Below are 12,605 nucleotides of genomic sequence, written 5' to 3' on the forward strand. Positions count from 1 at the left end.
CACTTCAGTCTGAGCGACGGAGCGAGACTCCATCTCAAAAAAAAGAAAAAGGATTTTTTGGTTCCACAACACAGGCTTAGTTAAACAGTAGTATAAATTCTTACACATGATCTTGTGGTTCATTTTCAAGAACAGATTCAAAAAGTCAAGTACATTCTATGTGTGTTAGCATTCCAGCAGCAGTCTCCAAGGGTCACACTTGGGAACAAGTTCTCCTGGGGTCCTGTAACCACCCAACGTGTTGACCTTGCGCACCGCTTAGACAGAGCCAATTTATCAGGAAAGGGAAATTGCAATGCAGAAAGAATCATTCACGCAGAGCCAGCTGTGCAGCAGACCTGGAGTTTTGTTATTCAAATCAGTCTCCCTGAGCATTCAGGGATCAGAGTTTTTAAAGATAATTTGGTGGGTAGGGGCTCAGGAAGTGGGGAGTGCTGATTGGTTAGGTTGGAGATAGAATCATAGTGGGGGTCAAAGTGAGGTTTGCTTGCTGTCTTCTGTTCCTGGGTAGGATTGCAGAACTGGTTGAGCCAGATTAATAGTCTGGGTGGTGTCAGCTGGTCCATCAAGTACAGGGTCTGCAAAATATTTCAAGCACCGATCTTCAGTTTTACAATATTGATGTTATCCCCATCAGCAATTTGGGGAGATTCAGACTCTTGCAGCCAGAGGCTGCATGACTCTTAAACCATAATTTCTACTCTTGTAGCTAATTTGTTAGTCCTACGAAGGCAGACTGGTCCCAAGGCAAAAAGGGGTTTTTTTTGGGGAAAGGGCTGCTATCAATTTTGTTTCAGAGTCAAATCATAAACTGAATGCCTTCCCGAGGTTAGTTCAGCCTATGCCCAGGAGTGAGCAAGGACAGCTTAAAAGATAGAAGCAAGATGGGGTCAGTTAGGTCTGATCTCTTTCAAAGTCATAATTTCCTCATTTATAATTTTTCAAAGGCAGTTTCAGTTTCAGCTTGGGTCTCATGTTGGTTGGTACTCATGGCCTGATGTACCTCCAGAGCACATGACCCTCATAGTCCAACAATGAAGAGATATCACCTGTCAGGCTTCAATATCCCCTTCTCTGTATGTCTTTTACTTCCAATCGCAGTGTATGATAAACCATCATTGCAGATTAATTCTTTGAGATTTAAAATTTGTTTACATAGAGTGTTAGAACTAGAATAAAATTTAGTCCAGAGGTTCTCAAACTTGAAAAAAAAATAGTATCACCTGGAAGAATGTTTGAAATGTAGATTCCTGGGCTCCTTTCCAATCCACTGAGAATCAGAATCTGGGGTCTGAAGAGCGATGCAACCCGTATTTTTTAGCAAGCTCTAGTTGATTCTGATGTCACCGATTCAGTGTCTATCTTAGAATATTCAAGAACCTCAATTCCTTCGTTATATAGATGAGGAACCTGAGACCCAGAAGCATTGTTCCAGGACCAAACTGAGGGTCGGGCTTCTATTTCTCATGGCCCAATAATGAGATGCAGATGAACTGGGGAAGAAGAGAGTTTTTATTTCTGTAGCCGGTTACAGGGAGTAGGCCTGGAAATTATCGCCAGACCTATTCAAAATTACAAAGTTTTCCAGAGTTTATAAACCTTCTAAGCTGTATGTCTACTTGTAAGTGTGCATTCATCTAAAGACATAAGTGATTAACTTCTTTTAATCTATAACTACGGTCTGAGTCTTGAAGACCTTTCTCTGGAGCCTCAGTAAATTTACTTAATCTAAATGGATCCAGGTGCTGGCGTGATTACCCTTATCTTGTCTCCTGCTAAATTACGGAGGCTTGAGGAGTTTCTTCAGACCCCCCAACGAACTTGTTTGAGGCCTGGGGAGTTTCTTCAGCCCCACGATAAAACTTGTTTCATCCTAAATGGGTCCTGTTAAGAATTCCTTCTTTATTTTGTCATGCTTTAAGGCCCAGGAAAGGCCTAGATAAAACTCTTGATGGGCTTTTGTTACATACCAGCCTTTGTATAAAGCCACTGGCTTTTCGTATTTAACTTAACCACTCAGTACTGAAAGAGTTGTTATGGAGGCCTGTGTTTGGTGAGACTTGGCTTCTACACTGTCATTTGACTGGGGTATCGTTATCTGGTTACTTAGTGTCAGACCTCAGATTTCTCACTTCCAAATAAGAATGCCCTATCCCTGGGCTTCTCTTTCCAACATTCAAATCCCTATTAAATTAGAATGCCTGTTGGAGAAGTCTAACCTGAATCTTAGTTGGGAGACATCTGAACACAAAGTTCCAAAGGTACAACCCGTGTCTGTTTGTAGTTTCCTTCACTTGCAGAATGGGCTCGGGAGGACCAGCAGCACAATGTCCTCAGGCTATGGAGCAGGCCCCTGAGTGAGCCAGAGCCTTCTTTAGCACGGTGGTGATGGAGGCGGCATCCAGTAGCCACAGGACTAAACCATTCCACTGTGGGTGGACATCAGAACTGCCAATGTGCCAAGGTCCGGGTTTCCTGAACTTCTCTTCCATCTAGGCAATGTCAGGGAAGTCTTAACCATAATGTATGAGCGAGAGCCTCTGAAGTTTCCCAAGGCAGGTCTGCTCATCTATTTAAAAGAAATTAGCAAGCTCTGCTTTAGCTTAACTGAAGAGCATCTAGAGAAAGGATGGGGATTTCCAGTGAAAAGGATGCATTGCACCAATGCTCGGAGGGGTGTGTATGTAGCATACAAAAATGTAACATGCTGTTGTTCTCTATACACCCTTCCAACTCCCACCTAAAGGGGAGGTCCCTTGAATTGTTTTCCTAGAAGTGAGAATGAGTAACAAAAGATTCTTTCACAGTCTCCTGCCATTTCCCTTTCTAACAAATGGTTCATGTTTAGCCCAGTGGTTTGCAACCTTGGGGAAGGAAGAGATATTTGCCTCCAGGGTATGTCTGGCAATGTTTGGAGACAGTTTTGGTTGTCTGACAAGACAACATCTGGGATTGCTACTGGTATCTAACAAGTAGAGGCCAGAAATGCTAGTAAATAATAATCATACAATGCAGCCCCTCCCACATAACAATGAATTATATGGCCTAAAATGTCAATAGTTTCAAGGTTGAGAAATTTTAATTTAGACTAAAGTGACTGCTTAGATTAGCAGTGGTGCCTGAGGACCCCAAAGGCTCAAACTCTTTGATTTGTTAGGCAGTTAATCGACTCAATTAAAGAGTCAATTGACTCAATTAAAGCGTCAATTAACAAACCAAAGGGTGAAATGTTAGTCAATATCTCTGAATCCCTTTCTAATTCTGTCACTGACTTGCCAGTTGAACTGAAACAAACTTTTGTCTCTCCTGTTGACTCAGTTTCTTTGGTTGCTAGAAGTCAATGAGAATAGCTTTCTAGTTTCATTGGTATCTCCTCTCCCAGTATCTGCCTCCCGAAATAGTGCCCCAAGGTTTTCAATGGTCTCCATGTCCATAAATCCAATGAACATTTCTCCTTTCCTGCCTTCCTTGGCCTCACATTAGACACAGCATTAAATACAGCCCCTGCTTTTTTTCCCCTACATTTCTTTTATTTCTTGGCTTCCATGTGTGAAAGGAAAGTATCTTGGGCCCCCAAAATTACTGAAGAAAACTCAAGCTGGAAACTGCTTGGAGCAAATCTGCCTCCCATTCTATTCAAAGTCACCTCTCTGTTCACTGAGATAGACGCATACCTGATTTTCCTCCTTTGGAAAGGCTAATCAGAAACTCAAAAGAATGTAGCCCTTTGCATATCACCTTCTGTGACCTGGAAGCTCTCTCCCCCGCTTCGAGTCTTCCTGCCTTTGCTTCAAGTTGTCCCGCCTTTCCAGACTGAACCAATGTACTTCTTACATATATTGATTGACGTCTTATGTCTCCCTAAAATGTATATAACCAAGCTGTGCCCCAACCACCTTGGGCACATGTCATCAGGACCTCCTGAGGCTGTGTCATGGGCTCGTGTCCTCAACCCTGGCAAAATAAACTTTCTAAATTAACTGAGACCCGTCTCGGATTTTCGGGGTTCACATGTCACAGGCTCCTAGTTTTCCTCTTTTCTAGCTCTAATTCTCATTGTCATAAACAGTGAGAATATTCATTAAATATACATGTAGCAATTATCATCAACAGGCTTTCCAACCTCTACCAGACAGTCCAATCTCAGATTTCCCCCAGGTTTAACAAGAGATTTCTTCTCACTCTACACTTTTTCTCTAGACAGTCTCATCAATGTCAAAGCTTCAATTATAATCTATACACTGCAGACCCACATATTTTTATCTTCTCTGAGTCACTGATTCATGTATTCAACTGTCTTTTTGACATCTAAATCTGATTGGGGCATTCACACTCTCATATGTCCAGCCTGAATGTGTCATCTTCCCCCACCTCACTTGCTCAGCATGCCTACCTACCCACATGCTCAGGGTAAAAACTTGAAAGCTTTTAATTTGTCCTTACCTTCACCCTTTCTTTGTATGCAGTCCACCCCCAAGTACTGTCAAGTCAGTGTCTTAAATGCCTATTTAAATCTTATTCTGCCCCGCATCCCTCTAGATTAAAGTACAATCATCTCTCTCCTGAACTATTGATGTAGCTTCCTAATTGTCTTGATTTATATCAGCTCCGCCCCTTCCAGTCTACTCATCACACTATATCTAGAGTGATGGTTTGAATATGCGAAACTGATTGTGTTGCTCCCCTGCTTCAAATTTTCCAATGTCCTCCATTACTCCAAAGTCATAGATCAAAATTCTGCAGTCGGAAATTGTTTGACACCTGCCCATGTCACCAGACTATCTAGCACTATTTACTTCATCTCCCTGTGTTATAGGCACTTCATCTTCTTTCTGTCCTACAAAAGCATCATGCTCTTTCCTGCCCAGTGCCTTCACTCAGGCTGTTCCTTCTGCCCAGAGTCCTCTTTCTTCCCCTTTCCTTACCCCCACCTCACCCCCATTTACCTGATTATAGAATTTCCTTTCTTCCAAGATACTATAGCTTATAAGACACACCTTTTGTTTACAGCTTTCTAGAGAAAAAAATTATTCACTAAATAGGTATATAGCAATTGGAAATCCATATTGATCTTAAAAATCTTTAATTTGATAAGATGTGAATCTTAGAATTAGATAAATATGCTTGTAAATAGTTAAAAGTTAGTTACTTGCACATGGTTTTGTAACTTTCTATTTTACTCTGTTTTTTTCTTATTGTAATTATAATAATACAATTTATTAGAATTTTTTTTTTTTTTTTGAAATGGCGTCTTGCTCTGTTGCCCAGGCTGGAGTCCAGCCATGTGATCTCAGCTCATTGCAACCCCCACCTCCTGGGCTCAAGCAAGTCTCCTGGCTCAGCCTCCAGAGTAGCTGGGACTACAGGCATGTGCCACTACACACAGCTAATTTTTGTATTTTTAGTAGAGACGGGGTTTCACCATGTTGGCTAGGCTGGTCTTGAACTCCTGACCTTAAGTGATCTGCCTGCCTCAGCACCCCAAAGTGCTGGAATTACAGACATGAGACAGTGTGCCCAACCCAGAATTCAAATTTTTAAAAGGTCTCTCTCATCTATTAGAATGTGAGTTCTGGTACCACTAAATCTCTAGTACATGACACAGTGTCTAGCACAAAGTCGGTGTTAAGATTAACCAACATGTTCAAATCAGAATTGCTCCATTTCCCATTAGGTTATGTTCAAGCCAGGCTGTGTACCCACCCTATGCTAGTTTCTATTGCTATTATAACACATGGGCAGAAATGTTGTGGCTTAAAAGAAGGTACATTTATTCTCTCACAGTTCTGGAGATCAGAGATTCAAAATCAGTTTCACTAGAGTAAAGCCAAGATGTCAGAAGAGCTGTTTCCTTCTTGAGGCTTTAGGAGAGAATCCATCTTTTTGCTTAGTTAAGCTTCTAGTGGCTGCAAAGTTCCTTTGGCTGTATAAAGTAACATCCAAGGGCTTGGGAAATGGGATGTGGACATATTTGTGTGTGGGGGGAGGCATTATTCAGCCTACCACCCACCCCTGTGTTGAAAAACAATATGGAAGACTTAGATCCAAATTGGAAAATGGAGCATAGATCAAGAGACATCACTTAAGAGTCAAGACTATGTTTTAGACCGGGTGTGGCTCCTTCCTAGTGGTGAGATTCTTGGTAAATACCTTCATTTCTTCAAGCCTCCTCCGCAAAATGCTGGACCAAAGCAGGTGATTTCTTCCCTTCTATGATCATGGGCTCCCAATGGTTACATGCTAGAGTATGATTTTATGCTGTCCTCATGGCTTCGCATGGCCCACATGGCTTCAGGAACACAAAAGAAGCCCAGAAAAAGGTTTCAAGATCCCATACCCTGCCACTGTGAATGAGAGACAGTTTCTTGATGCTGATTTTCCTCCAGGCCCCCATCACAGCCTGGTTTCAATTTTGGTAAGAAGAGGAACAGAAAAACAGACCACATATGTAACATAACAAGCTCTGCACCCTTCCTCCTTTATGGTTTCTTTAAATACCAACATAGAGTACCCCCTCCCAAAAAACCTAAAACTGGAATATCCCATCAAGGTATAACTATTTATTACCTACCCACCCCTTAAAAAAAAAGGGAAATAATAAAAGAGGTAAAATTATTGTCCACTTATCTGGCATGAATCATTACATTCTAGATAACTTAGTCATGCACAAAACTAAACAAAAAATATAGTTTTAGACACTAGTAGATTGCACACTCATCTAGATTAAGAATTCCAGAGACGCTCAAAATAGAGGACTTATGTCTTTCAGCCTATCTCAGTGCCTGGCAAGAGTAAGTGGCCAATGAATGTGAGATGAATTGAATCAGGCCCCTATAATTTTTTCATAAAGTATGAATATGTACATGTGATTTGGAGCAGACCAAGTAGATATATTCCTGGGTGTGCCTAGAAGCACTGAGAAGCTGTGTATGTGTTAGATGGAGGTCATTGGTGTGAACATACCAAAAATTTAACAGCAGAGAGCTTTCAGGGTATGCCCCAGCTTTTCTTGTGTTTCAACAGCCCCTTGAAATATTAGAAAAGAGAAATAGAGACATAGATGAAGAGAGAGAGAAAATTGATGGAGAAATAACCAGTTAAAAATAAAGTCAAAACTGAGTGTGAAAGTGAGGCTACTAAAACCAGGATAATAGTCATCCATAGAAATAACCTGTGCTTTGGGAGGAATCCTCAGGGCAGGGGTGATCTCCAGGTAAGAACTGATCAAAGGAGATGTTTGTGTTTGGCTAGGTTTTTACTAAAGCCCTTACTCCCTCTAGTGGGAAGACGGAGCTGTGCAGCATCCGTAGCAAGGTGTGTGCTCTTCAGGGCTAAAAGTCCTTTGGAATCAAGATTGTTTCTTGTTTCTTTTTTTTTCTTTTTTCCTTTTTCTCTTTCTTTTCTTTTCTTTCTTTCTTTCTTTCTTTCTTTCTTTCTTTCTTTCTTTCTTTTTCGTTTTTCTCTTTCTTTCTTTTTCTGTTTCTTATCTCCTCAGCTTGAAGGTTGCATCCTCTTTATCTCCTTAAGTAAAGCTGGGAGTTCTGTAGTACTCCAGGAGTGAGGACAATTATGCTTAAGAAACTTTGGTTTCAGTTTAGTCCCAGACCAAGAGGAAAACATTTCAAAATTTTAAAGTAAATCCTAAAAGTGTAATTTACACCAGAGCGATTGACCTGGCATTTATGTAGACTGAAGCTTGAGAAGTAATTCAAGTGGTTTCCACTCATTCCCTTGGAAGAGTCCTTAGAATGTACTTCCATTGGTCTGAAAAACGCCTGAAAAAGAGTCCTGATGCTAACAGTAATGGAAATAGGAGGGCTGGTGGTTCACGATCAGCCCAGTGGTATCCTCTATTCTATTTGCATCTAGGTAAAGAGACTGTGGCCTGTATGTGATCAAACAATTTGTTGAAGCGCTTTGGGCTTAGGGCATTTAATTTCTGTGAAGTAGGACCATCAGTTGTTTGCTCTGTTTTTGTGTCACCTCTCAGAATACATTAAAGTAGGGGCAACCCTTGAGCCCAGACTTCTGCCATGTGAAGACCCTTTGAAAATCCTGACAAACACAGGTACTGCGTAAGTGGTCAGCTAATTAAAGAGGGGAGGTGGAGCTGTCCTTTGTGTATCCAATAAGTACCCATTATCTCATTTGAGCATGAAAAGAGGCCACTGTTATTACTTTCAAGAAGGAAAGTAAGCAGGATAGCTCATATTTTTAGAACAATTCCTCACCAAATGGAATAATTCCGGTGAAAAGTGGGAGTGAGGAAGAAAGAAAAAAAAAACTTCTAATCATAATGTTTGGGAATAAGAAAGGAAGAAGAAACTCACGTCAAAGCCGACTTTCTCCTGCAGCTGTAAAATAAACTCTTAAGACCCTTCCTGCTGAAACTCTGGAGAGGAAAACTGGAGTGGCGGGTGGGCTTTGCCTGCAGCTCAACTCTCCCTCGCGGCGCGGGCGCGGCTGGGTTCAGCACCTCGGAAAGCGCCCCTCGCGGCGCCCCGGGATTACGCATGCTCCTTGGGGCCCGCCGCCTTGGCCGTGCAAGTGCCACCGTAACTGGTGAGAGCCGCTGGCAACCCACCCGGAGTTGACAACCGCGGAGAGACGCAGACACCCACTGACCTCCAGGAAGCTGAGCGTGGTGGATGGAACTCTACGATCTCTTTCTCTCCAAGGACGGAAACCTCATCCAAGCAGTCCCAGAGGAAACGGATAAAGGTATTTGAAAGGGAGCGAGCGGCCCCAAATCGCACAATTGAGCGGCTGGGGGAGTTATGCGCCAGTGCCCCAGTGACCGCGGGACACGGAGAGGGGAAGTCTGCGTTGTACATAAGGACCTAGGGACTCCGAGCTTGGCCTGAGAACCCTTGGACGCCGAGTGCTTGCCTTACGGGCTGCACTCCTCAACTCTGCTCCAAAGCAGCCGCTGAGCTCAACTCCTGCGTCCAGGGCGTTCGCTGCGCGCCAGGACGCGCTTAGTACCCAGTTCCTGGGCTCTCTCTTCAGTAGCTGCTTTGAAAGCTCCCACGCACGTCCCGCAGGCTAGCCTGGCAACAAAACTGGGGTAAACCGTGTTATCTTAGGTCTTGTCCCCCAGAACATGACCTAGAGGTACCTGCGCATGCAGATGGCCGATGCAGCCACGATAGCCACCATGAATAAGGCAGCAGGCGGGGACAAGCTAGCAGAACTCTTCAGTCTGGTCCCGGACCTTCTGGAGGCGGCCAACACGAGTGGTAACGCGTCGCTGCAGCTTCCGGACTTGTGGTGGGAGCTGGGGCTGGAGTTGCCGGACGGCGCGCCGCCAGGACATCCCCCGGGCAGCGGCGGGGCAGAGAGCGCGGACACAGAGGCCCGGGTGCGGATTCTCATCAGCGTGGTGTACTGGGTGGTGTGCGCCCTGGGGTTGGCGGGCAACCTGCTGGTTCTCTACCTGATGAAGAGCATGCAGGGCTGGCGCAAGTCCTCTATCAACCTCTTCGTCACCAACCTGGCGCTGACGGACTTTCAGTTTGTGCTCACCCTGCCCTTCTGGGCGGTGGAGAACGCTCTTGACTTCAAATGGCCCTTCGGCAAGGCCATGTGTAAGATCGTGTCCATGGTGACGTCCATGAACATGTACGCCAGCGTGTTCTTCCTCACTGCCATGAGTGTGACGCGCTACCATTCGGTGGCCTCGGCTCTGAAGAGCCACCGGACCCGAGGACACGGCCGGGGCGACTGCTGCGGCCGGAGCCTGGGGGACAGCTGCTGCTTCTCGGCCAAGGCGCTGTGTGTGTGGATCTGGGCTTTGGCCGCGCTGGCCTCGCTGCCCAGTGCCATTTTCTCCACCACGGTCAAGGTGATGGGCGAGGAGCTGTGCCTGGTGCGTTTCCCGGACAAGTTGCTGGGCCGCGACAGGCAGTTCTGGCTGGGCCTCTACCACTCGCAGAAGGTGCTGCTGGGCTTCGTGCTGCCGCTGGGCATCATTATCTTGTGCTACCTGCTGCTGGTGCGCTTCATCGCCGACCGCCGCGCGGCGGGGACCAAAGGAGGGGCCGCGGTAGCCGGAGGACGCCCGACCGGAGCCAGCGCCCGGAGACTGTCGAAGGTCACCAAATCAGTGACCATCGTTGTCCTGTCCTTCTTCCTGTGTTGGCTGCCCAACCAGGCGCTCACCACCTGGAGCATCCTCATCAAGTTCAACGCGGTGCCCTTCAGCCAGGAGTATTTCCTGTGCCAGGTATACGCGTTCCCTGTGAGCGTGTGCCTAGCGCACTCCAACAGCTGCCTCAACCCCGTCCTCTACTGCCTCGTGCGCCGCGAGTTCCGCAAGGCGCTCAAGAGCCTGCTGTGGCGCATCGCGTCTCCTTCGATCACCAGCATGCGCCCCTTCACCGCCACTACCAAGCCGGAGCACGAGGATCAGGGGCTGCAGGCCCCGGCGCCGCCCCACGCGGCCGCGGAGCCGGACCTGCTCTACTACCCACCTGGCGTCGTGGTCTACAGCGGGGGGCGCTACGACCTGCTGCCCAGCAGCTCTGCCTACTGACGCAGGCCTCAGGCCCAGGGCGCGCCGTCGGGGCAAGGTGGCCTTCCCCGGGCGGTAAAGAGGTGAAAGGATGAAGGAGGGCTGGGGGGGGCCCCATTTAAGAAGTAGGTGGGAGGAGGATGGGCAGAGCATGGAGGAGGAGCCTGTGGATAGGCCGAGGACCTTCTCTGGAGAGGAGATGCTTCGAAATCGGGTGGAGAGAGGAAATTGGCAAAGGGATAGAGACGAGCCCCACGGGCCAGACAGCCAACCTCCGCTCCGCACCCCACAGCCTCTCCTTACTCTTCCCACGCTGAGTAGTGTGGGGGCGCCCAGAAGCGAAGACAAGCAGCAAAAATGTAGAGAAATTGGCACGGGGAGCGGGGCTTAGCCAAATGATGCACAGACAATTGTGCCCGTTTATTCCAGCGACTTCTGCGGAGAGGGCAGCCGTCGGCACAAACACTCCTTTGCGTCTTGGCAAACGAGACTGCAGCAGCGCCAAGGTCCTACTTGCTGCGGGGCTGCCCCAGGAATCTAGAGCTGGTAGGCAAGAAACGCTTTTGGAGTTAAGAAAAAGAACTGACCATCCTGGTCCGCCCACAGGAGAAACGGCAAAGGAAAGCCACCTCCAATGGAGTCATTATGACAATTATCATTCCGGACTGGGCCAGCGGGAACACCCTGAGCCCGACCTAGCTGCACAGCCCCGGAGCTCAGACGTTAGCAGGGGGATAACACCTGTCACCAGCTTGGGAGAGCCATTCTCTGGGGAGTGTCGTCGCTGCGGGAGGGAGGAGACACAGTGTGATTAGAAGGGCTGGACAGGGAAATTTCTTCAGGCTGCTGCCCCAAAAGGTAAAAGGGGGCTCATATGCTCACTTGGTAGCAGAGTTGGAAGTGGAGCGCTGGCGCGTTGCGCGCAGGAAGCTCGGGCGCTCCAGTTCCTCTGAGAGCAGTCTGCGTGCTGCCGGTGAGCTGGGCCCGGAGGCATCTTGAATAGCTCTACTGGGAGGAGTGGGGGCACTTCTTCAGTTCCTCCCTTCCCACGCTTTGGGAATCAAGCTGTTCCTTTGATTGAGGCCCTGGACCAGCGAGTAGAGGGATGGTTCAGTATTTATTTTATTATTAATTTTTTTCTGGTAGGCTTAGATAGAAGAGGAAGAAATACCGCAGAAATGTGCAAGGGGAATTGGGGCGGGGGGCGGGGGGAAGTGGAATCTTGGAAACCAAATTCCTAGAAGCTGGGTCGGATCTCTCAAACAGAGGTGTGGGGTAGGAAAGAAAATAGAAGGTTCAGGTACCATGTTCTAAAGCGAGCAGAGTACTGGGGAAACTGTTCTGAGGGTATCATCAGAATTTCAGTTGTGGGCTTTTTTATTGCTTATATTATTGACAAGAGAAGGTAGGAAATAGTAATTCCCATCGGACATTACCATCACCAATTTCCATTTATTCTAAAGAGTGCTTTACATATTAAGCATGCATGACAAATTCTTTCCCAGCCTCCAGACAGTTTATGGAGCTGTCTCTGAAGACCGCCTCACATTTCTCATGTTGACTCTGTTTTGATCACAGGAGCTTAAGATGTTAAACCCTCACAAAGTCCTTTCTTGAGGCTCTTCTAAGAACTGGGATCAAACATCAGTCTACCTACCCCTCTGCTGGCTTTCATAGAGGTACTGCTACTCTCTTCGGCAACCTGGTTTGGGGCCAAAAAACCAATGATGCAGGCACCCACCAGGGTGGTTGGTTTAATATAAAAAATAGCCATTCGTAAAAACAGGTCTGTTTAAAGAGCCTCTTGAACGGTAGAATTGTTTAGTGATGTCGTTGAAAGTTTTCTGCAGTATCTGAGATTCAGGGCTCAAAATGTGAGATCTACAACTCCCACCTTCCCTGATCTGCTTTCTGTGATTGCAAAACACAGTGAAATGACTAAACACTCATGCCTTCCCACAAAGGCAGAAGCTGCCAGTCGCGATTCTGAGCAGTCTTGTGAAGTCAGCTCTTTTAGAAAACTGAATGGTGTGTTTGTTTTGAAGTAGTCCATTTTTTTCTTCACCCTTTGGGAAGAACAATTATTGATATA

General features: G+C 46.4%; 1 protein-coding gene across 1 annotated transcript, besides 1 other annotated feature; it reads left to right on the forward strand.

Moving 5' to 3' along the window:
• Positions 3,422-3,927: an enhancer, noted in NCBI's record as "OCT4-NANOG hESC enhancer chr5:33931143-33931648 (GRCh37/hg19 assembly coordinates)". NCBI's record gives its function as "activates a minimal SCP1, AML or CMV promoter by ChIP-STARR-seq in naive H9 embryonic stem cells {active_cell/tissue: H9 hESC(naive)}" and the evidence as "EXISTENCE:reporter gene assay evidence [ECO:0000049][PMID:30033119]".
• RXFP3 (relaxin family peptide receptor 3) lies at positions 8,770-11,302 on the forward strand. Its single transcript, NM_016568.3, has one exon. It carries the CDS (start codon positions 9,125-9,127, stop codon positions 10,532-10,534), a length of 1,410 nt encoding a protein of 469 aa, NP_057652.1. The 5' UTR covers positions 8,770-9,124; the 3' UTR covers positions 10,535-11,302.
• The last annotated feature ends 1,303 nt before the right edge of the window (positions 11,303-12,605 follow it).

The sequence above is a fragment of the Homo sapiens genome, chromosome 5 (assembly GCF_000001405.40).
Source record: "Homo sapiens chromosome 5, GRCh38.p14 Primary Assembly".
Lineage (NCBI taxonomy): Eukaryota > Metazoa > Chordata > Mammalia > Primates > Hominidae > Homo > Homo sapiens.

What these genes read in the sequence shown, in the direction of transcription:
- RXFP3 (NM_016568.3), top strand. Translation starts at nt 9,125, where the DNA reads ATGCAGATGGCCGATGCAGCCACGATAGCCACCATGAATAAGGCAGCA.